This window comes from Homo sapiens, chromosome 1 (assembly GCF_000001405.40).
Source record: "Homo sapiens chromosome 1, GRCh38.p14 Primary Assembly".
NCBI lineage: Eukaryota > Metazoa > Chordata > Mammalia > Primates > Hominidae > Homo > Homo sapiens.
The window spans coordinates 240,685,421-240,711,321 of record NC_000001.11 but is presented as its reverse complement, the minus strand read 5'-3'; the positions used below and the strand labels follow the sequence as shown (position 1 = coordinate 240,711,321).

Genomic DNA, 25,901 nt, shown 5'->3' with positions numbered 1-25,901 from the left:
CTTAACTCACTCTCGGTTGATATCATGCTTGACTGCCTTTCAACCCTACAGCGAAAAGTCCCTCAAAAGCCCCTTGTGCCTGCCCTTACAGTGCGAGGGGTCAGAGGATGCTGGAGGTAGAGCCCCTGAACAAGCAGCAAAGAGCGCTGTGCACAGCAGAAACCTACAGATGAGGGTGCCATGATGGAGGCGCTCAGGGTGGCAGGCAGGAAGGAGAAACACGGCAGGGAGAGAGGGCGGGGTGAAGATGCGTGATCACAGAATCCACCTGAGAGCTGTTGGAGGTGGGAATCTCTACTCCAGAGGATCAGAACATGGAAAATGTGCTGATGACTAAGGTTTGTTTTTAGAGCTCAATATTTATGGATTAATTTATCCTAGGACGTGGAATGTGGAAAGCTCATCTCCTCCTCAATATTTCCACCGTGTGTTGTTGTGCTTCCTTTTTATCTGATTTGTCTTATTAAAATTTGTTTTAGAGAATGATAGGAAAAGAGAGATGAGAAAAATTAGTCTGTGGTGTTCTTTGATGTTCGTCAGTAAAGTTTGAAAATAATGGCATAGAAGAGCTTTGGAGATCGCCGCGGAGCCAGCGTCGTCAACCAATTTATGTTTAGAAGGTATACGGTATACCTACATATTTAGAAAAAAACTATTTTGAAATCAATAGGTCTCTTAATTGTTACAGAGGCTAGGAAGGGGAGTGGGGGTAAAGGGGGAGGTGGAGATGGCTAATGGGTACAAAACGTATACTTAGAAAGAATAAATAAGGTCTGCTATTTGATAGCACAACAGGGTGACTATAGTCAATAATAATTTAATTGTACATTTAAAAATAACTAAAAGAGTATAATTGGATTGTTTGTAACAGAAAGGATAAATGCTTGAGGGATGGATACCCCATTTTCCATGATGTGATTATCATGAATTGCATGCCTGTCAGAACATCTCATGCACCCCATAAATATATACACCTAATATGTACCCACACAAACTAAAAATCAAAAACTTTTAGAAACTAATCCATGTGGCAAACATAAACATAAAGTGACTGGAAGAGAGAAGAAAAGCATTGACATTGAGTAAAATATAAGAAAAAAGAATGAATAACAATTGCACAAGAAATAAGAAAGAAGTGATCAGAACCAGTTTCTTTCCCGGGGAAGGCTTCTGAGTGGAGGCAGGAGCATTACAGACATGGTGGACCAGAGAAAGACATGAGCAGGAGTGTGTAGGTGATTGTGCCCTAGATATGTGGAAAGGCACTGGTGTGGGGACAGGAAGGTGTGGGGGCTGGAGGCACGGAGTGAGGATGTTCAACAGCATGAAGTGTAGAGAATCAACAGCCTTCACATCCAGACTTCACGAAATTTAAGGTAGGTAGCCATTGTTCTGTATTGATTAATGAAACTAAGAGTGAAAGTGGAACCAGGGCCAGTGGTATGAGCCTGTAGTCGCAGCAACACAGGAGGCTGAGCGGGAGGATTCCTTGAGCCCAGGAGTTCAAAATCAGTCTGGGCAATATAGAGAAATCTTGTCTCTTAAAAAAAAATGGGAAAGATGAAAGATTGGAGACGGGACTCCACACTGGAATGAAAAAACAATACTTTAGTCACGAAATGATGAGAGGCTGACCCTGCACAGATCCGTAGTAATGGCTGTTGAGAAAAGCTTCAGTTGCTGGAGATAAAAGCTAGCATACTGGATTTACTTTATGAAATGGAAATTCTAATAGCATCTAAATGTTTCTTTTAAATCTGGGATTTGGCAGTGTTCATGTTTTAATCATGCAAAACATTTGATTGGTTGGCTGAACCAAAGGATTGTTATTGTTATTTTTGTATCCAGTAATTTATTTTAAAGCTGTGAGTAGAATTTCTGTGTTATGTTGCTTCTGGTTTAGTGGGAAAGAATGTACTATTTAACTTTCCTCAGTAGGAAGGGTAAAAAGAGAGACAGAGAGGAGGCTGATAGTTGTTTATTTTAAATTCTGAAGTTTAGAAAACTAAGGCTGGTGGCTTTATGATCAATGTTTTCAGTAAAAGCCTGTCTGGAAAGGAATGGAATGGAAATTTTGCCTTCTAAAAATTATGTCTGTCTTTTGTTCATTTTATTCAAGACACCATCAACTGAAAATACATGAAGCTTTTCTTGCATGTCTATTCTGAGGATGGAAAAACTTCCAAAGAAGAAGTACCTTATCCCAGATAACTTCTTCCTCCTAGAGATGGGTTTAATAGTTGACTTAGGAGATTTTCCGATCTTGTGAACACAATTTACTTTGGCCTTGGAGATAGGGAATCTGTCGCCTAATAACAACTTAAGTTCGTTGCTTGATATATGACAGTTTGCACCCAGCTATCCAGGCAGACACCAGCTTCTCTCAGTCATGCTCTCATCAAAGACTTTCAGTCCACAGGACTGTCCTTGAATGAGGCTCCTGAATCCCTCTCCCATATCCAGGAGACAAAATAGGGATTTTGTGCAATAAGGCCAGAGAGATGGGAGGAGGGTGTGTGTAGGTAACACACACCTGTTCTCAGACTTGTTGCTATGTATTTTTAAGGGGTGATCTGGAGGTTTTAGGTTTAAATCTAGAGATCATATGGACTTGGTGATTCAGTACCATGAGAGATCCTGAGGTTGCCATTCTGGGAAGTTGCCACTGACTTTCCAGGGAATAAGGGGCAAGATTTTTTTTTTTTTTTAACTATAAGTCCCTGGCTATAGCACTTTTAAGTACCTCAAGATGTTACTAGCCTAGCCAGGCGTGGTGGCACATGCCTGTAATTCCCAGCTACTAGGGAGGCTGAGGCAGGAGAATTGCTTGAACCTGGGAGACGGAGGTTGCCGTGAGCCGAGATCATGCCATTGCACTCCAGCCTGGGCAACAAGAGTGAAACTCCGTCTCAAAAAAAAAAAAGTTGTTACTAGTCAAGGCTTAGAGTGCCAAGAAAGATCTCTAATTAGGGTCTGTCATTCCATGATGGGGTCAGTTTTTTGTTTTTTTCAATTTGTCTGTTTGTTAAGCAGTCTTGCTACTAAACAACAATTCCTCTGTAGTTGAGCATTCATCATGTCCTGTCTGCTCCCGTCTTTCTTCTCGTTCTTCATGGTACTTGATCCTTGTCTCATTGTTTCATTGATTATCCATTTGAAGTACCTTGTCCTCTCTGAAAATATGTCGCATCCTTTATAAACCAATTAAAATTGCACCTCTCCAATAATCCTAGAATGACCCTTTTCTCAGCACCCAGGTATTTAGTATGAATCTTAAAGGACGATGAGTTTCTCTGGAGAACAGGATATTGCAAAAAGCCATTTGTAAGGGAAAATGAAGAGTTCTTGCAAAGATTCGGAATAGAGAAATGCATGTTGTATTGATCTGATGTGATCTGATTCCAGGATGCTTGGAATCAATATAAGTTGATTATGAGAAGGTAAGCTCTAAGGACGCTGAGCATCTTGTACACTGTGCTAAGGACTTTATTCCATAGTCAAGTTGATGGTTTCCACCAGATATTCAGATATTTATTTGTGACTGAAAATTCTAGCATCTGCCAAGATTTCTAGGCAATATAATTGGTTGCCTGGTTTGATGATAACAATGACTCTTCTCAATCTCTTCAATTTTCTCTTCTGTTCATGTTCAAAGAAGCTTCACTGAATAAACTCTGGCTTTATCCAAGTATCCTAAACCTTGGTCCTTTGTATCAATCTGGAAGGTCCTCAGGATCCTTCGGGATTTATGAAAGTTCAGCCCTCTTTTCTTTGTGTGCTGGTTAAAAGGCAGCATACCTGACCTAACATCAAACTAAACTTAGAAAGTGAGAAATCAGGCAGGGTGCAGTGGCTCACACCTGTAATCCCAGCACTTTGGGAGGCCAAGGTGGGCGGATTATCTGAGGCCAGGAGTTCGAGATCAGCCTGGCTAACATGGTGAAACCCCATCTCTGATAAAAATACAAAATTAGCTGGGCGTGGTGGTATGCGCCTGTAATCCCAGCTACTCAGGAGGCTGAGGCAGAAGAATCACTTGAACCCAGGAGGCAGACGTTGCAGTGAACTGGAATTGCACCACTGCACTCCAGCCTGGGCAACAGAGTGAGACTCCATCTCCAAAAAAAAGAAAGTGAGAAATCAATCATGAGGAACTGATATGAGATTTTCGTATGTTGGAAGTCAAATAAAAGTGAACATATATAGTTTACAGTCATCATATATTCTAATGAACTGACATGAATTCTGTGAAATAAACATTTTCCTTTTCACAAAGATAGGAAGCCTATGATCCACATAAAAATGGGGTCATTTAACCATGTCCCTATTTGTAAGACTGACATATATTGCCTATGTCATCGGCCTCACAGCTCTGCCAGGGAGATAAGTGATTAAAAGGGCATGGGAGAGTTTCCTTGTAATTCATAGCACTATTAAATCTTTCTTCTGTATCTATTCATTTAGTTGCTCATGCACTTACTAATTCATACATTAAATCAATATTATTAAGGACTGACCATCTGCCAGTCAGATGTGTTAAGTGCTGGGGTTTCAGCATTGAACAAGTCACGGAGTCTGATATTATGCATCTTATAGTTGAGCTTATAAGGGGGCTGGGAAGTTCTATGCTGAGTCAGTCATTGTAAGAATGATGTGTATTACTAAGAAAGCAGGCTGCTAAGGAAGCATAAAATAGGTGGTCCTAACTTAGCCAAGGGGGACCAGAAAATCCTTCCTGGATAAAGTGACATTTAAACTGAGACTTGAAAGATGAGGGGAAATTAGGTAAAGAGCTCTAAAGAGTCTGGAATGAATGCTCTTCTAAGAATCTACCATTAGTCAAAACGCTTTCTGACATCATGTAAAAAACAGTTTCAAAGCACTGCCCTTTGGAGCAGCCATCCATCTCTGGATCTTGGCTGCAATAAGTTCATCTTAGTGATTTCACTAAGTCCAGTGATTAAATATTGCACGGGGAGAGCAAAGAGATGTGACTCTTTGACGTGCTTGGCTCCATCCCAGATTTATGTCTACGAAGAGGGATAAACTCAGGAAACGCCAAGCCAGGAAAAATGTGCTGGCATCTCCTCTTGGCAGTCAAGGACTTTTGAAATCATTGGCGACTAGATCAAATCAGAACAGGCAAATTTGATCTAAAGTAATTCCCAATACTCTAATTACATCCAAATTATCAAACAAAAATTTAAAAATTGATGAAACTCTCTGACCTCAAGAGAGTCCAAACATCAAATAGCAACAATGTTTGTGGATGACAATACTATAAATAACTTTTCATCCAGGTGCATCATCAGAGGGGCTCCAGATTTCTTTAAAAAAGAAAAATGTAAAAAGAATGCTTGACAGTCTACGTTTTAAAAAAATTTTTAATTTCCACCTTTAAGGCTGTTTATTATATTAGCACAATATTTTTAAAATGTCTTTTTACCTCTAATCCTTGTTCTGAACCGCTTTCACTGGTTTTCCTATTCTTACCCAATTATTCTGTTCCAGTAGTTTTTCTTTCATGAGTCCCGCTTCCACTGGCTTCATTCCATTTCTCTTAGACATGCTCTCTCCTCTCACTGTGCCAGACTGTTTTGTGGTCTCTTCTTTCTGCAGTATGCATCTCCTTCCTTCTTTTCTTTTGCCATTAATGTTCTGTTTTTCCATGAATTTTCCCAGGATTCTGATTTTTCTCTATTTACTCCTTTCCTTATTTTCTGAGTTATTTGATCTCCATTTCCATCTTCATACTAGCTTGTTTGTTGTTACTTTGTTGGCAAGTGTAAGTATTTTCCTATTTCTACTTCTGGCACATACATTATATATCAAAGAAACCTATTATCTGTGCCACTGGAAAAGAAAATACCAACTCTGCCATCACTTTAGGCTACATAGAAATCACTGCACTTTGGTGGCCAGTGATTACTATTCATTTTTACATTCAACAATTTATATTTCATTATTATATGTATTTATACATCTTTATACACATGTATAAAAATAAACATTTTCATGCAGGGCATGGTGGCTCAGCACTTTGGGAGGTCGAGGTGGGTGGATCACGAGGTCAGGAGTTCAAGACCAGCCTGGCCAAGATGGTGAAACCCCATCTCTACTAAAAATACAAAAAATTAACTGGGTGTGGTGGCGGGCGCCTGTAATCCCAACTACTCGGGAGGCTGAGGCAGAGAATTTCTTGAACTCAGGAGGCAGCAGAGGTTGCAGTGAGCTGAGATCACGCCACTGCACTCCAGCCTGGGTGACAGAGTGAGACTCCATCTCAAAATAAATCTCAAAATAAATAAACAAACATTTTCAGATATTATGTACTCTTAAATTTATAGATCCTCTCTTGTCCACTCTCTCTGTTAATATGACAGGCTCCGAGGCATATAATTATTTTCCACTCACAGGAATTAGTGCACAAAGGGGATAAAGAACTTTCTCAAGGCTGGGCATGGTGGCTCATCCCTGTAATCCCAGCACTTTAGGAGGCTGAGGTAGTGGATCACCCGAGGTCAGGAGTTCGAGACCAGCCTGGCCAGCATAGTGAAATCCCGTCTCTACTAAAAACACAAAAATTAGCCAGGCATGGTGGCACACACCTGTAGTCCCAGCTATTCGGGAGGCTGAGGCAGGAGAATTACTTGAACCCAGGAGATGGAGGTTGCAGTGAGCCGAGATCACGTCATAGCACTCCAGCCTGGGTGACAAGGTGAAACTCTGTCTCAAAAAAAAAAAAAAAAAAACTTTCTCAAGGACCACAATCTCCTAAATGGCAAAGCCAGAATTCAAACCATGACATCCTGCCTTTAAGCCCAAGTATCTTTCTGCTTCTGTTTTTCTACTTATACTGTTATCAGCATCATGTTGAATGGGCCATTCAGGTAATGTAGGATGGAAAGCTTTGTGTGAGAGAAAAAGAGCTAAAAATATATTAGCAAAAATATCAATAATCTCTTGAAGCAAAAATTATTTCTTCTTTGGCCTACTTAATCCTATGAAAAAAAAAAAACATGTATGTGTGGGAGAGAGCAAGGGTGCTGGGGGCCGAGGGCTACCTTACAAGCCAGTCCATGACTGTTTCTTCTTCGTGCTTGGCACTGGGGAAGACGAAGAAGCAAGACCGCAGTAACACTGAGGGTAACTCATCCTTCAAGCCCCGCACGTCTTTTCATTGTTATTTCTTAGCATTTCTGTAGCTGAAGGCTTCAGGCATGAGATGCCAGAAGTTATGTGTATGGAGCAAGTCCATTTTTTCCAGCTTTTCAATACTGCCTGCTCTGATTCCAGAGGAAGCTCTTTCCTGTCTCCATTTGTCTGGCTTCTCATCCCTTAGAATGCCCATACTATTTTCTCATATAAACTTTATTTGCTATTGCTGCTCTCCTACTGCTTAACTCAACTGTATTTTCCCCCCAGATATTTTCTAAGGCTGCCAGAGCTCCAAATCCTAACACAGTGTGGTTCCACAAAGTTGGACATATTAGCAAGAAATACGGTAGAAAATAAAGAGATGTTGGCTGGGTGCGGTGGCTCACGCCTGTAATCCCAGCACTGTGAGAGGCCGAGGCGGGCAGATCACCTGAGGTCGGGAGTTCGAGACCAGCCTGACCCACATAGAGAAACCCCGTCTCTACTGAAAATACAAAACTAGCCAGGCATAGTGGCGCATGCCTGTAATCCCAGCTACTCGGGAGGCTGGGGCAGGAGAATTGCTTGAACCTGGGAGACGGAGGTTGCAGTGAGCCGAGATCGTGCCATTGCACTCCAGCCTGGGCAACAAGAGCAAAACTCTGTCTCAAAAGGAAAAAAAAAAAAAGAAAAGAAAGAGACATTGATGAGTTTTTAGAATATTACATCATAAATCATCATCATCATTATCATCATCATCATCTTCACAGTTCTAGTTAATTCTTTTTGGGTGCTCAATCTGTGCTAGTCACTTATAATCTCTCATCCTAATTACACTCATGAAATGTAGATATTATTAAACAGCTTATAAATGAGAGAACTGAGTTTAAATGGCTTGCCCAAAGTCAACCACTTGGTCTATGGTAGAACCAATATTTATGCCCGGGACGCAGGCCATAAGCAAGCCCTATCCCCAGTCTCCATCCAGTGGCTCAGTCCCTGCCCATCACACCCCCATCTTCATTCTCCTGAACCCCATAAGAAGTCCAAGCCTCAGGCCATGTATCATTACACAGATGTCCCCACCAGTTCATCCATACATATCTATACTTTCCCCAATCTGACCCATCAGTCACCCTCCCAAATCTTTCCTTTGTGCCAAGAACTCTCCAATATCTTCAAACTCTTCTCTGAACATTTTCCTCACTTCCTAGCACTAACCAAAACCTTGCTGTACCCTGAGGTCCCTGCTTTTCCCGTGGCCTTTTTAAGAGGAAGTTGTTTGGTTCCCACATCTCCAAATGCCTCAGACCCTAGAGGTAGGCTAGGTTTTCCTTGCTCTTCATTGCTACTTCTTTTTTTTTTTTTTTTTTTTTTTTTTGAGATGGAGTCTCACTCTGTTGCCCAGGCTGGAGTGCAACGGCATGATCTCAGCTCGCTGCAAGCTCCGCCTCCTGGGTTCAAGCAATTCTCCTGCCTTAGCCTCCTGAGTAGCTGGGATTACAGGCACGCGCCGCCACACTCAGCTAATTTTTGTATTTTTAGTTGAGACGGGGTTTCACCATGTTAGCCAGGATGGTCTTGATCTCTTGACCTCGTGATCTGCCCACCTGGCCTCCCAAAGTGCTGGAATTACGGGTGTGAGCCACAGCTCCTGGTCCTTCATTGCCACTTCTAAACCACCTCTCCTCTGTCCTTCAAAGCCCCTAGATCCCTTGAAACTCAGGTGATCAGAAGTTTCCACCCGTTACTCCTCCTATTGGTAGGTGTCAACCTCCTAGCTAATTGCCCTCAGTACTGATGAATATGAGTACCTAGCTGTCTTTCTTTCCGCCACTGCAATGCCTCTCATAATTCTCGTTCATGTTAAAATCTACTTGAATGATTTATTCTTCACCGTAGTTCTCCTGTCCACATCTTCTTCTTTTGCTGCAATAATATTTTCTCACACTCCACTTTAGCCACTCACCTACATTGTCACACTCTAGATCTGCTTATCACTTTGTAAAGTGGCCCAGACACTTTCTCTCTATATGACTTAAGTTAGTTAATGTCTCATTCTGCAGCAGTTTCTTCTATAAAATGAGTCTATCTGTGATTCTAACTCCAAAAGCCGTTGTATAGTTTGAATGAGTTCGTGAATATAAACCTCCCAGTACATTGCCTGTCACATTTGAAATATTCAATAACAGTTATTCTTATTATGGTTACTGTTACCACTTATAAATCCTCGATTTTAAAAGTCCATGTCTGAACATCGCTTTCCACTCATTTCATCTAATTTACTCTAGTTCTCACCCTATATCAAATATCCTCCTGCACTGAGCCCTCTGGTCCATTTGCTCTACCAGTTTTTTACTATTTATCACCCCAAGAATGTCCTCCTTACCCAGCCTAGCTTCCATGATACAGCTCAAAAACCATTCCCTTGCAAACATCGTTTTCTTAGGTTGGTCCTCTTCCCCACAGTCACATTTGTCTAGAATTCCCAGATATTATTTACTCCATATCCTCCCCAGAGCAGCTGAAATTAGCCTGAGAAAAGTTGCACAACCAGGGTAACTGGATACATCTCAAATGTAAAACCACAAGTATGAAACAGGAATTCAACAAAGTCATATAATCCTTCCATGCTGCCCTGGTCTCTTCTCTTTCCCCCTCTTCTCAAATCTCCAGTACCAGGCCGGGCATGGTGGCTCAAACGCTTGTAATCCCAGCTTTGGGAGGCTGAGGCAGGCAGATCACGAGGTCAGGAGTTCGAGACCAGCCTGACCAACATGGCGAAACCCTGCCTCTACTAAAAACACAAAAATTAGCTGGGTGTGGTGGCGGGCGCCTGTAATCCCAGCTACTCAGGAGGCTGAGGCAGGAGAATCGCTTGAACCCGGGAGGCGGAGGTTGCAGTGAGCCGAGATCGCGCCACTGCACTCCAGCCTGGGCCACAGAGCAAGACTCTGTCTCCAAAAAAAAAAAAAAAACTCCAGTGTCCCCACTCCCCTTGCTATCAGATGTTGGTCGCACCTCATACTTCATCCAGAATGTCTCCATTGTCACACCATCCAGTCCCTTAAACCACAGTCAGTGCCATGCCTGTCTGTCTTAGGCCAGACATGCATCCATGTCTAAGGCCAGCCTCTCTTCTCTGTGCACTGGAGTCCACGTGACTTTCGTAAGACACATGACTACTGTTATCCCTCCTCAACTGTTTGAAAAGTGCTTTTCCCAGATGTTCCCACAACTGCATTTTCTCTTCATTCAGCTAAAAATTCAAAGGTTACCTTCTCAACGAGGCCTCTCCTGCTACCCTGAAAAGTTTCCTCCCTACATTGCTTTACCACCTTCATTGCAGTTGTTAGCACCAACAATTATCTTAGCCATTTTTTTACACCCTTCTTTTTTGTTTTTTAGACGGAGTCTCACTCTGTTGCCCAGGCTGGAGTGCAGTGGCATGATCTTGGCTGACCGAAACCTATGCCTCCTGGGCTCAAGCAATTCTCCTGCCTCGGCCTCCGAGTATCTGGGACTACAGGCACTAATTTTTTTGTATTTTTAGTAGAGACGGGGTTTCTCCATGTTGGTCAGGCTGGTCTTGAACTCCAGACCTCAGGTGATCTGCCCACCTCAGCCTCCCAAAGTGCTGAACCACAGCACCCGGCCAGTTTTACACCCTTCTTATCTCTCCCACTTGAATAAAAGTAAGCTTCATAAGGGCAAGAGATGCCTGTCACTCCTGTAACCCAAGCTCCTTGGATAGTGCCTGGCACTCTGCAAGAACACAGTGGACGTTTTTGAGTAATTGACTCTAAAAGCCTGTGTTATTATTTCTACTGCAGCAGATTATCTTCCCACTGAAGGCAAACGATGAAAACAATCAAAGGAAAACAATTCTGGATGAGCACTTTCTGGAGAAACAGAGGCCACACTTTCTATGGCAGAGACTTCTAAGAGAGCAATGAAGGAAGGAATGGTTGCAGTGGCACTGTGATGAGAAACAGAAGAGTGCGTCCCATGAAATTAAGACTAGCTAGCTGGAGAAAGGCTCAGATCCCAAAAGATTTTACTTGTAGATGGGCAGAGCTCACATAGAAATATCTATAGGGCAGGGCACCGTGGCTCACACCTGTAATCCCAGCACTTTGGAAGGTCAAGGTGGGTGGATCACGAGGTCAGGAGATCAAGATCAGCCTGGCCAAGATGGTGAAACCCCATCTCTACTAAAAATACAAAAAATTAACCGGCAGATCACCTGAGGTCAGGAGTTCGAGACAAACCTGGCCAACATGGTGAAACTCCATCTGTACTAACAATATAAAAATTTGCCAGGCATGGTGGCATCCACCTGTAGCCCCAGCTACTTGGGAGGCTGAGGCACAAGAATTGCTTGAACCTGGGAGGTGGAGGTTGCAATGAGCCGGGATCGCACCACTGCCCTCCAGCCTGGGTGACAGAGCAGCACTCCGTCTCAAAAAAAGAAAAGAAGAGAAAAGAAGTATTGTATAGAAACAATGTGTGCACAAAGACAATTTTAACTAAAATAAAAAATGCCCTTGGATATTTGACTCAAGAGAGTGCCAGGGAGGCTGAAAAGCTGGGTTTTTCAATAAAACCAGCTGAAATGTGGAGAGTTCCATGGTCAACTATATGTCTTAACAGAGTGGCCACTGGAATTTTCATTAGCTGCACTCATTTCAAAGGGTTATAATAGGATAATTGAACAGAAAGATCCCTTTGGACCTGAACTTGGCAGAGAAAGTCTTTCCCAGAAGATCATTTCACCCAATATTTGTAATAGATAAGTGTCAAAATATGTCATTTGGAAGATGATACTTTCAATTCATACAAGAATAGTTTTTAGAGATAATTTTTACAAAATAGAAAATATGTAATTAATTAGCTTGATTCCCAAGTTAGAAAAATAAGACACACATGTGTGCTATGCTGTGACTGCTAAACCCACTAGTTTTACAGTATCATTCAATTCTGCAATTCTCACTATCCTCCTACTATATATTGTAGTTATCAAAGAGGTTAAAAAAATTTGTTTTACAAATTTTATGAAACATTGATCACCTCATTATTATTTTCAAAGAGTTTTGAAAACTTGCCATCTCTTTTGTCTGGTTCTTGGGAGAAGCATATTTCTATTAGGTTGGTACAAAAATAATTGTTTTTGTTATTACTTTCAATGGCAAAAATCACAATTACATTTGCACCAACCTACTAGTTATTATTATTTTTGTTCTTAGGATTTTGATGAAAGTAAACTTACTTTAATTTAGCAGTAAATCCCATCAGTTGAATGAAGAGAGAAATGGATAGATAGAAATGTGTAGAAATGTGAAGAAGCAAATATATTAAAATATCCTAAAATGTCAGTGTAGAACATGGGTGGGGGATGTCTAAGTGTTAGCTGTAATATTTGAATATTTCTATTTCTTTAATTTTTTCATAATATAATATTTTAAAACAAATTCGAATAAGACTAATCCATATGATATTCTTTATGTAACAGTTTTCAGTTTTGTGTTCATTATACCTTGCTTGGTTCAGATGTCATGGGATTAATTGTATAACCAAAAGATACGAATACCTAAATCTTGAGAGAATATATTTTCCAGTCATTAGAAATAAAACCTAATGATATGGACTCTTAATTGATGACTCTATAATTGGCTAGATTTGTAAGAAGAATAATTTGCTCAAGGGCTTATGAGAAAAAAGAAAAAAAATTTTTTTAGCAACTTTTTTTCTTTTTAAAAGACTAGTCAAGTGCAGTAGTGAAAAGGGGGTAAAGAACAGAACAAGTTCAGTCTGTAACTGACTGTGAATAGTCAATTGAGATAACTCACAAACTTCACACTGGCCCCTAGCAATTTTTTTCTATGAGACAAAACCCAGGAAGGTGTGTATCACGTGTGCCCCCTTCCGTGTATTTATATATACATGCAAATTCACTTGCATGTACACACAGCATTTCTGAAAACAAACATAAGAGGCTGGGTCCATTGGTTGCTTCCAGGGAGGAACATTAGCCAGCCAGCACTCAGAGGTGGGAGAGAGACTTCACTGTCTGCCCTTTTATATCTTTTGGATATTGATCTGGATGAATGTCATGCTCATGCCAAAAGTAGAATGAGTTACTACCTGTACAGTTAGCAGGCAGTAGGCAGGGATTGTGAGTAAAGGCTGTTCTCAGACGTAGTGGGCTGTTTCTCAACAGAGACCCCTCTCCGGGCCTCTGAGAAACAATCGTTTATTTGGAATTCATTATATGTCGGATCCATATGTGTTAATGGCTATGCATGCATTCTTTCTTTAATATACATGGCGATAGAGTTGCATAAGGGACTCACTCTATTTTATAGAGGAATCTGTGGCTCAGGAATTCGAAGTTCTTCATCTAAGTTCATACACTTAGGAAGTGGCAGAATGGGGCTTAAATGCAGGTTTGTTTGAATCAAAGTTGTACTACTGTCACTCTGTCACCTCGATTACTTGTTGGATTACTGAAAATCAGTCACAATATCTCTATTATTTGATTTATTGGTCTTTTCTTTCTTTCTTTTTTTTTTTTCTGAGACAGAGTCTTGCTCTGTCGCCCCAGCTGGAGTGCAGTGGCACGATCTCGGCTCACTGCAACCTCCGCCTCCCTGGCTCAAGCAATTCTCCTGCCTCAGCCTCCTGAGTAGCTGGGATTACAGGCACACACAACCATGCCTAGCTAATTTTTGTATATTTAGTAGAGACGAGGTTTCATAATGTTGGCCAGGTTGGTCTTGAACTCCTGACCTCGTGATCGGCCTCCCAAAGTGCTGGGACTACAGGTGTGAACGACCGGGCCCGGCCGATTTATGGGTCTTTAACAGAACAGTAATAATTTCCCTAATATTTTACTCTGAAAGCTTTATTAAACACCCCATGTCCTTTGATACAGAATCTGAGAGCTAGTAGAATCCTCAGAAATCATCCCTTACCAGGCCGGGCGCGGTGGCTCACGCCTGTAATCCTAGCACTTTGGGAGGCCGAGGCGGGCGGATCACAAGGTCGGGAGATCGAGACCATCCTCGCTAACAGAGTGAAACCCCATCTCTACTAAAAATACAAAAAATTAGCCGGGCATGGTGGCGGGCGCCTGCAGTCCCAGCTACTCAGGAGGCTGAGGCAGGAGAATGGCGTGAAGCTGGGAGGCGGAGCTTGCAGTGAGCCGAGATCGCGCCAGCCTGGGCCACAGAGCGAGACTCTGTCTCAAAAAAAAAAAAAAAAAAAAAAAAAAAGAAATCATCCCTTACCAACACCTTTAGCTGATGGAAAGGGAAATAATGTACAACCAGGTTAAATAATGTATTCAAAGCCATATGGCCTCTGAGTAGCATTGCTAAGAAAGATTTATATGGCTCTTCCATTGTATCATGATGCTATTTTATTGTAAAATGCAAAATTAGAGGTGTAAATTAATTTAATCTGATTGGTTAAGTACTACATTGAGTTTAGCATCCACACATTGCGTCTGCTATGGCATGCCTTGATTCCTTATATCAATATCAACTCTTAGTTTAGCTCATTAATCTAGAGTACATTTAGCCCAGCTTCTACAAGGCCAATCTCTTTACCCCAACCTTGTTGCTGGCACTGTTCCACTCAGGGATGGATAGAGAACAAGCAAGCAAATAATGCTTTTTTCAATAACATGTCTTTGTTCTTTCAACACAGGCGAAGTTATGTTACATAAAGTCATTTCACTGATATATTTCAAGTTTTCATGGGAATTACAATTTCTCTTTTTTAAAAATGTCCCCGCTGACTGCACTGATAGGGAATTAAAATTTCTATTGGGTAAATTTAAATGAAGGGGAAATTGACAATGACATCACCTGGTGGGAGAATTCAGGGACACATTTCAAAGCAGCCTCATGGTAAATAGGTTACCAGGACCTCAACTACATAACAGAGTAATTCTGAGATGTGTTAGAATACATCAGTATTGATGCTAAATCCAATGTACACTAAATCAAATCCTATAAATATTGATTGATCTCCTGCCAAGAAGACCTCTTAATCACTGTGATACGTTGGCAGTTTTGAAAATGGCATAATAGGCTGGGCGTGGTGGCTCATGCCTGTAATCCCCCCACTTTGGGAGGCCGAGGATGGGCGGATCACAAGGTCAGGAGATCGAGACCATCCTGGCTAATATGGTGAAACTCCGTCTCCACTAAAAATACAAAAAAATTAGCCGGGCATGGTGGTGGGCACCTGTAGTCCCAGCTACTGGGGAGGCTGAGGCAGGAGAATGGCGTGAACTTGGGAGGCGGAGCTTGCAGTGAGCCAAGATCGTGCCACTGCACTGCAGCCTGGGCGACAGAGGGAGACTCCGTCTCAAAAAAAAAAAAAAAAAAAAAAAAGACAATGGCATAATGATGGGTAGAGAAACTCAAATAGAGACATCCAGAAAAGAATGGAAAGAGTCAAATTTCCCCTTGTTTCCAAGTGCTAGAGCTCTTTACTAGTGAACGTTAATCTGTATGGCAGAGAGTAAAGGGCACACTCAACAGGTGGCATTTCTTTCAGGATCTAGTGACATTTTCAACACCAACCCTGGTGAAGTGGAAGAGGAGGTCAAGGAGTGCGCTCCAATGGCAGTGGCCAAGTGAGGGGTGTCATCACCCTAAGAGTTTCATGAATGGCAGTGCATATATAACTCCACGCTGATTTATGGCCACCTTTAGAGGCCTCATGAATATTACCTATTTATTCCTTCCTTGGGCTTCCCACATATCTAAACTTTGGGACTTGTTACCTTGTACTGCGTTCATTTATGTGCCACCTTCTTCATTTTGATGGTGAAAACTAGGTCTGATTTGAGGGAGGGTACATCCTAGGAGTCAATTCTTTTGGTTCTAGAGCTAGATAATTTTGATTCAAATCCTCCTCTGACATTGATGAGAATGTGATATCGGCCAATTCACACAACTGCTCTGTGCCTCAGTTTCCTCATCTTTATATATTTGAGTAGTTGCTAGGAGGATTAAATAAATTTATATATATATTAAATACATTTATATATATATATGTATATAACATTTAGAAGAGTGCCTGGCACATGGTGAGAGGTAAGTCCTCCATAAGGTAAATTATTATTATTATTATTTTGTGTCAATGAATGTCATAGCAGTAATTTTATTATTTTAATTTAATTTAATAAAACCCACAATTTTTAATTAGTGATTAGTAATTATTTTAATTAATGATGACATGTATTCACACTTCACACAAATTCATAAAGAATAAATCATAGAGGTAAAGCTATAATAAATATCACATTGCAAATACACAATTAGCAACATGAAAAGTACATGGAATTTTTGAAGCATGAAGAAACTTGAGTGCTAACTCTAAACAGATAAAGCATCTGTTTATCTTGGATAAGTCTTTTAAACTTTATAAAGAATAACTATGCAGAGATAACATTTAGTACTTAAGAAATAATAAATTTACATGACTTTCTCTCTCTTCCTGTGAAATAAAGATATTAGACCAGATTATTACTTCTTGCTAAAAGATTCAATGACTCTCAGACAGGAGATGAAAATATAATAACAATTGCCTTGGGTCTCCAATCTTGACACATACTGTCTACAGAATTTGGCACACTTTGTTGCTGTCCTCTATTATAATATATGTGTTTGAATCTTTTCTGACTATCTAGTTTAAGACTGGAAACCATTAATTTAACTTATTAATTCAATGGACATGTATTAAGCATCTGCTATATCCAAGTTAATAGGATCTGGAAATACATAGTGACAAAAGCAGTCTCTCGCCTCCGTGAGTTTACAGTCTAATTGTGAGAGAAGCGTGAAAACAAAGAGTTCAATAATCATTACATATCCACAGTGGAAGTCTATACAGAGCACAATGGGAGCACAGAAGAATGAGAACGTGTTTGCACTGTGAAATGGCCGTAGTAAGTAAAAGTTTCACAAAGGAAGTAAAAGCTGTTTAGATTTTTATCATTCTCTTCCCATCAGTCCCTATTATACTGCTGGCACTTTTTGAAATAAGCAGAAACCTAATATGCAATTTCCAAAGATTGTCTTTAAAGATGTACCTTATTGAATACATGTGGATATATAGCCTAGGGCACATGCTACACCTTCTTGTCACTAAGTACGCACATTGCAGGAGCCTGCCAGTCCCAGCATAGTTTCTCATTTCCACTTCATAACACTGTCTACAAGATTTTACAAAGAGATCAATTGCTCATTACGTTACTGGTATCTTGTCCTCAGTTTGTCCCACATGCAGTGAGAGAAATATTTTATACCATCCTATGGAAGACTGAGAATAAAAAGAACATATCCTTGCTGTAAGTTAAACATCTAAAAATGGTATGATTCTTTTCAGAGTGTGCTGCCAGATGCTGCTAGATACTGGGTATGTGGCCAGAAGATGTTAACCCAACACTAACAGTCATATAAATCATGATTCCCCAAAGGTCAGATGCTACCACTGCATGGTTATTTTCTTCAACTTACTCTGTAGTCTCTCTTATAGAATTTGTAAGGTTTATGCTGTACACATTATGGGACAAAAGGTCTTTATCTCATGAAACAGGGCTAGGCAGTGAGAAACCCAACGAGAAGGGCAAAATTAAGATTTCCTACGGATGTCACCAGCAAAGTCATTATTATTGAAATTGAATAAATGAATGGAAAAAGCAAAACAAGCTCTGAGTTAGAAAAATAAATTACACATGGCCAAGCTCAGATTCATTCCTATTACCTACAATTAGAATTTTTAAAAATTGAGCCTTCCCTTTGAATTTCCAAAATTAGTAGGAAGGGGGAAGTGAAAAGGCCATTAAAGGAAAAAAGGAAGAGATCAGAGTTTTGAAGAGACCATCAACAGATGTTGTTTCAGAAATTGGATTTGGAATGAGTCCAAAAGGACTATTTCTAAGACAAGAGCTAAGTAGACCATGGGTGAATTTCATCTGATGCATTTCATCTGAGCATTGATACTGGAAGACACATTAGAGAGGGCATCTGGAAGTTAGCTTACCAAAAGGAAATAGGATCACTTAAGGAGTCTAATAATGAGCAAAAATAAAGAGATTGAGCTATTGGAAGGAAGGCAGAATCATGTGATGGTTTCTTTAGAAAGTCTTGATCATCTTTAGATGTATATCTTAGAGACTCACTCCTAGAATCTTACACACCAGTAATTTTTTTTTTTTTTTTTTGAGATAGATTCTCACTCTGTCACCCAGGCTGAAGTGCGGTGGCGTGATCTGCAACCTCTGCCTCCCGGGTTGAAGCGGTTTCTGTGCCTCAGCCTCCCGAGTAGCTGGGATTACAGGCGTGCGCCGCCACGCCCAGCTAATTTTTCTGTATTTTTAGTAGAGATGGGGTTTCACCATGTTGGCAAGGTTGGTCTTGAACTCCTGACCTCAAGTCATCCACCCACCTCAGCTTCCCAAAGTGCTAGGATTACAGGTGTGAGCCACCATGCCCAGCCACACCAGTATTTCTTTACCCTCTATTTTGATCCAATGTTTATCCAGAAGTAGTTCAAGATTAAGAAGTAGTTCAAGTGAGCAGACAACTTGAATTCCATTGAGCCTAATCTATATTTATTTTCCCTCCATAGTTACAATATGGAAAACATAATCACGTAAGTGTAAAGGAAAGTATATTCTACGTCCTGAAAAATCACTGTGGTTCATTCACGCTGGGAAAGGTGGCCGCTTTTCTGACATGAATCCGTAGCTGCATTATCATGGGGGTTTCCTGGGTAAAGAGGAGGCTGCCGGTCTCTTGCTTCCCCCACTTTTCCATTTTTTCCTCTTTTGCAGCCAGCCATGGTCCCATGCTTGCTAGCAACAGAAAGTACAGCAGATGGCAGCAAGCAGCTGCTGCATTTTCCAAACCTTGGTCAGCAACTGTTTTCAAGCCAGCACAAGGCAGGTTGAATGGAGGCAAAGATGGATGTGGATTTGTTAAGAGTCCCCCGTCCTCCATCTCTTGTTCTGTCTCTACCTTTCTGCCCTGCCCAGTGATGAGCAAACACCTCATTTCACAGAAGCAGAGCAAACTGGAAACAAGAGGAGGAGACAAAAGCTGGGGCTTGGCGGGACACACTGAACTGGACTCAAGCCTGAAGTGACCTAGTCAGGCGTGGTATCGATGTCGTGGCAGATCTTCCTTGGCCTCCGTGGGCTGTTGAGCAATTTCTTGGACCCACATCTGTGAATGCTAATCCAACACCAAACAATATTTTGCAGAATTATTCCATCCACTTTGCAACTTCCAGCTTTGTAGGGGCTTCACGGGGGCTGCAGGTAGCAGGAAAGACCTGAGGGTGAACTGCGTTGTGCTGAGAGATAAGCCTGGATTTTACCAATTCAGGCTTGGCAGACCACATCAGAGCTGTCAAAAGGCTATGAACTGCTCTGAGCTCCTGCCTTTAAACTTGCCCTGTTTAGTTCAGCTCAGAAGCCTGGAATTTGTGAAGGTAAACAATTCTTATCCCATGGATAAACTGGATAATGCAATTTAAAATACAGACGTATATTCTTCAGACAAACGTAACCGCCCTGACATTAATGGGGCCATTTATCTATGTTGAAGTCAGTAAGCCATAAGCACTGTCAGTGATGTGGGGATTTGGGGATTTGATTAGTTTTGGGTTTCCAGTGGCTTAACAGGAACAGAGGGTGCGAGGTGAGGTAGCTGGTCTTATCTTCTTGAGTTATTAGATAACTTGTGTTCTTTCTCCTTTGTGCTAAAACCTAAAAGGTAAATTTGTTCTTTTGTGTTTTCCATAATTCAACAGATTGTTAACCTGGTTTATTTTTCATAACCAGCAAATTGTACCTATGCTGATCATTCAGTTTTGTGGTCAAATATTACAAAGCTGGGTTATGTAAGCTTATATTTTTCATGAAATCAGCCCTATAAGAAATTAGGATTACAGGTCCTAACACTTTTTTCTTTTTGAAACGGAGTCTCGCTTTGTCGCCCAGGCTGGAGTGCGGTGGTGGGATCTCAGCTCACTGCAAGCTCCGCCTCCTGGGTTCACACCATTCTCCTGCCTCAGCCTCCCAAGTAGCTGGGACTACAGGTGCCCGCCACCACGCCCGGCTAAAGTTTTATATTTTTAGTAGAGTTTCACTGTGTTAGCCAGGATGGTCTCGATCTCCTGACCTCGTGATCCGCCCGCCTCAGCCTCCCAAAGTGCTGGGATTACAGGTGTGAGCCTCCGTGCCCAGCCTACAGGTCCTAACACTTTAACTTCCAGAGTTCAAGATTATTAAAGTAACTTCAATACTGGACGGCATTTGTAAGCTTTACGTGCTCCCAGCTGGTTCGTTGACATGGAGTTCAGACTTGCATGCAATCACCCTTGACTATCTTTGGCTGTCCTTTCTCAGAAACAGGGCAATCATCTTAACAAAAACCTGGCCAATAGATTTCCAAATGTTGCGTTCATAGAAAGAACACTGGTTTTGAGAAAAACTTTCACATGTATTTTCTTTTCCCTTCTCTCTCTTTTTTTTTTTTTCAGACAGGGTCTCGCAGTGTTGCATAGGCTGGAGTTCAGCGGCATGCTCACGGCTCACTGCAGCCTTGACCTCTTGGGCTCAAGAGCTCAAGCAGTCCTCCCATCTCAGCCTCCCAAGTAGCTGGAACCACAGGCACATGCCACCACACCCAACTAATTTTTGTATTTTTAGTAGAGGCAGGGTTTCGCCATGTGTCTCAGGCTGGTCTCAAATTCCTGGGCTCAAGGGATCTGCCTACCTCAGCAACCCAAAACACTGGGTTTACAGGCATGAGCCGCCGTGCCCTGCCTCAAATGTATTTTCAAGTGGAGCAAAGTTAAGGGGCTCACAGTCACTTGAAGTTTTAGCAAAACTTGGGAGTAAGCGAGAATGTTCTCTTAAGCAACTGTTCTGCCTCATTGGTGGGATGAGCCATTTGGCTGCCTCTGGTTTCCCACTAGCAAACAGTAACTGATTGGGAAGATGAACAGGATTAGCTAAATGATTAATCTCCATCTGCTCTAATACATAAATTATGAAATCATACTCATCATACCAATTTTTGCCAATTCAAAATGTGAACCCATTGGCAAAAAAAAAAAAAAAAAAGGAAAAGAAAAATTTCCAGTCACCGAGAGATGTTCCACTGTAGTCTTTCAAAATGTTTTTAAAACAGTTTGAAAAATCTTACTTTCAAAGTTTGAATTTTATCCCAGTCCATTGTCCTCCTGCCCGACTGTTGACAAATCATCACCACAGGGGATCTGGTGAGAAAAACATGGGTGGCCCTAGGCTGGTATCTGGCCAAATCAAGTATACATTTGGCGAATATGGCCAGACTGTAGGCTACCTAGGTGGCTTTGTGGTCTCATGTGATCAAAGTCGGGGATAGATTAAGGAGACTAGATCTTTCTTTAGTAGATGGAATATAGCAATTCCAATTACTGACATCCTAAAAGCTTCTCTGGAGATGCAGAGCAAATTCTCTATACATTTAATGTTTTCTACATTAAAGGATATTTTGCTTCCACAACTGAAGTGAATTATGGAAACAAAACCTCCTTTAAGATAAGCCTGAAATTATCATTGTATTTGACAATGGGAGGAAAAAAGCTGAGACGTTTTCAGAATCTACCAGCAATGCATCCCCCAGAGAATACACAATTTGCATGAATCCCCCTGAGCTAGGGAAGCTGAGGATATCTGAAAGAGAAGGGGGAAAATGTATTTTAAAAGCTTCCCAGAAACAGATTAAGAGTTAAGAAAAAGAAAAATCCTGTTAACAACTGGAATGGGCAGACACCGCTCTGCCAGCCTTAAAAGAGTCAGATGAGAGGCCAGACACGGATTTCTGCTTTTCCGAAAGTCACCCAGACATAGACAAGGATAAAGTAAAAACGAGAAATGTAGAACAACATGATCCCTTTATTTTGATAATTTAGAAAATAAAAAGAAATGATTGCAGTGTAGGCAAGCAGCAGAGGCCTAAAACTTCAATACTTTACATGGAAAAGGAGACTGGAGGTGTTTGAAGAAAAAGCAATTTCAATTGCAGTGGCTTTTAACCTTTTGGGAGCATTGAATTGCCTTGAGAATCTGGAAAATGCTATGCATCCTCTTCCCCCGAATACAAATGCATGATTTTCCATTCCATTCATGAAATTTCACTCATAATTATTTTGCACGTATGACAGGTTAATAACTCTTACACAGAATAGAGTTTCTGGCTTTGTTTTGTTTTGTTTTTCATCTTTTTGTTTGGTTTGTTTGGTAATGAGTTTTGCAAACCTTGGGAAGGTAGTGTGAGGCAAGGTTATTGGTGAGGGAAGGTGATTAACTGTGTTCTAAATAAATAGTAGTTATGGTGAATCATTTCCCTCCCATCCTACCTCAAAGAAAAAATTTGGATAAATAAAATATGTACGAAATTACAATGACATACCAAGAATGGTGAATTCTTAATGCTCCTCAATGTAAACTGGCATGTAAACACATGGACATTTTTCTTGCATCTCTACTTATTGGTTATATTTGTTTCAATCATTAAGATCTTTGAGACTGGGCGCGATGGCTCATGCCTGTAATCCCAGCACTTTGGGAGGCTGAGGCGGGCGGATCACCTGAGGTAGGGAGTTCAAGACCAGCCTAACCAACATGGAGAAACCCTGTCTCTACTAAAAATACAGACTAGCCGGGCGTGGTGGCGCATGACTGTAATCCCAGCTACTAAGGAGGCTGAGGCAGGAGAATTGCTTGAACCTGGGAGGTGGAGGTTGTAGTGAGCCGAGATTGTGCCATTGCACTCCAGCCTGGGCAACAAGAGTGAAACTCCATCTCAAAAAAAAAAAAAAAAAAAAAAGATCCTTGAAAAGCATCATATCATTCATTGTGTCTTTCTTATGTCTTTTACTTAAGACAGTTACCTGGTGTGGCATGACACAATATCTCCCAGCCTCTAAAATATTATTTCTCAATCATATTTTGCCATAGGAATGATCTTGTCTGGTCACATTCCAGAAGCAGGAGGAAAAAAAAATAGCATTTCTGAAGCCAATGAGTGCCAGTCACTTGAAGATGGTAATCTGAACAGGAAGAGCACTGTGACTTACTACTGTCCTTCAGAGAAAAAGGAAGAGGTGCACGTCACAGACGGGAAGTCAGTGAACCAGAGGCAAAGGTACTGAAACTTTATTTGGCAAATATGAAACATCCGTTGTGCCAAGAGCACAGATCCAGTTTTTGCAAGATGCAAATTTCATGGCAAACAACAAAAGCCTGAAGAACCACTTAGCTAATAACTGACTTCGTACTCAGCATCCCTTTTCTGTTTTTCTGCTGTGACAGGCCTTTATTGAAAGCCAGAATATATAGATCAGTCAAAACCTCAGAACAAAAAGGTAGTGGGCCTGAGCTCAGAATGTCAGGCAATTAATGCACTAGTGTTGGCATCAGCCTCCAAATCCTTGAAAATATAAAATACTTGAACACTCGTCTCTCTTATGAATGAGTTCCCCATCATATATTGGTTTCCTTAATGAAGATCAGAAAGGAGTTTCGGAAAATGATATGCTTAGCCAATTTAACACCAGCTGTTTGATTCTCCAAGTTTCCTTACCCTAAATGACTTTACAACAAAGTCAAGTAGAAACGCCGCTGAACAATCCTGTCATCCTTTCCTCACCCTGGCCGAATGAGGCTTTTTTTGGATTGCAAAAATTGATTAAAATTAAAAGACATCGTTTAATTAATCTTCTGTGCCATGAGACTCCATCAGGCTGTCTACAAAGACCACTGGGAGGCTGAGGATCACTTGAGCCCAGGAGTTTGAGGCTATAGTGAGCCTCAAAGGGTCTCTGCACTGCAGCCTGGGTGACAGAGCGAGACCTGTCACACACACACACACACACACACACACACACAAAGACTTTTAGCCACATTTCCAGATTTCAATGTAAATGGTACTTGGGGAATGCTTTTTGACCCAAGAAAGGAAACTAGGTCTGAGTGTTTATCGTTTGTAGATTGGTGAATAGATTCAGAAAAGCTAATAACACAAATTTGAGAGTGGCATTTTGTGGGCATAGATTTCACATTAAAACTGAGACCAAAAGACTAGTGTCTGTTATCTTGACATTTTGTGGAGTTAAAACTAAGGACAAAGGCTGTTTAGAGAGCACAGCGGTGATCTGTACTTATGAAATTTAGTGACCCTCAGTTGCTTGGCAAAACTACAAAAAAAAATTGTGACCTGCTTTTTATACAGGTGAATAAACAATTCAGGTATCAAACAATGAACCCCTTGATTTCAAAGGACAGTGATGTGTTTGACGATAAGAGACAATTCCTATAATTCTTTTGTATTCCAGTGAAGTTTATAGCATGAACGACTTGTTTTTTTGGTACAATCCTGTACATTAATTGTTACCAGCACGTATCTCGGAGCTCCTGTCCACACAATAGTCATTACTAACACCTGAGTTGATCTGCACAAGGGCACGGATTACACGGGTAAGTGAAATAGCATCCACATTCATCACCGATTTCAGTTATGTCTAAGAATATAGGATCAAATTTTTATGTTCAGACTATAATCAAAAAATATTTCTAGAGGATACTTTGTTACTATACAGGTGTGATAGTAATCAGATTATCTAATGACTATAGGAAGAATTGTGCTTTCAAATTAAGGAACTGGCCTGGGTGTCATGGCCCACGCCTGTAATCCCAGCCCTTTGGGAGGCCAGAGTAGGAAGATCGCTTGAGACCAGGAGTTTGAGGCCAGCCTTGGCAACATAGCAGGACCTCGTCTCTATTTCTAAAAAAATAATTTTTATATACATATTTTATATATATTATATATATTTTTATAATATATATATTTTTAAATTTAGGGACTGGCCCTTAATTTAGCAGTGATGTCATATAAGGGAACAAAAATCACATCATTTGAAGTAGCATAAGAAAAAAAATGGCTCTGCTACTGTTTATAGGAACATTATATATGAGTGTATATATAATATTTAAAAAACATATTAAAATAATGTTTTACGTCTGTAAGTACAGTATATGTTGCTATATGTTATATATATGCACACATATATACAGATTATATTACATGTATATATGTATACATAATATATAATCATGTTATCTGTATATATACATGAAATTATATTATATATAATTTTATCACTGCATTACTTATATCTTGGCAAAATTTTATTGAAATATAACTCACACAAAGTGCATAAATGCTAAGTGCAATACAGAGTTCAGTGAATTTTACAAAGTGAATGCCTCTGTGAAACCACCCCCCAGATCAAGACATAGAATATTAATAACACCTTCAAAACCTTTCTCATGTCTATTCACCTTTACTACCCTATAGAAAAAGACAAGTGTTCCCACATTTTCTATTACCTGGAGAAGATTCTTCCTTAAATGTTAGAAGAATTGGTGAGTAAAAAAATCTGGGCCTAGAATTTTGTCGGGGGAGGGATGGGAGTAGTTTGTGGAAAGGTTTGTCAGATTTTATTTTTCTTCTTATTTTGATTTTATTAAATAATCCTTTTTATTTGAAGAAGTGTGTCCATTTGACAATAACTCTTTAAATTTTGGTGTAAGCTGCTCATTAGATTCTTTTATTAACTGCTTTAATATCTGTAGGTTTTGTGGTAAATCTGTCAATTTGTGTTTTTCTATTTTTATGATATCAGTTTTT

The 25,901-nt window shown here is 40.6% G+C and overlaps 1 long non-coding RNA gene across 1 annotated transcript, besides 1 other annotated feature; it reads left to right on the top strand.

Annotated features, from left to right (window-relative positions):
* The first annotated feature begins 1,252 nt into the window (after positions 1–1,252).
* Positions 1,253–25,639, top strand: LOC105373228 (uncharacterized). The gene is made up of 4 exons (XR_949320.2): positions 1,253–1,376; positions 23,171–23,357; positions 24,547–24,688; positions 25,569–25,639. It is a non-coding gene; the product is annotated as an uncharacterized LOC105373228 (long non-coding RNA).
* Positions 18,899–19,193: a silencer, noted in NCBI's record as "tiled region #3663; K562 Repressive non-DNase unmatched - State 13:Ctcf". NCBI's record gives its function as "represses a minimal TATA promoter and a strong SV40 promoter by Sharpr-MPRA in K562 cells {active_cell/tissue: K562}" and the evidence as "EXISTENCE:reporter gene assay evidence [ECO:0000049][PMID:27701403]".
* Positions 25,640–25,901: the final 262 nt, after the last annotated feature.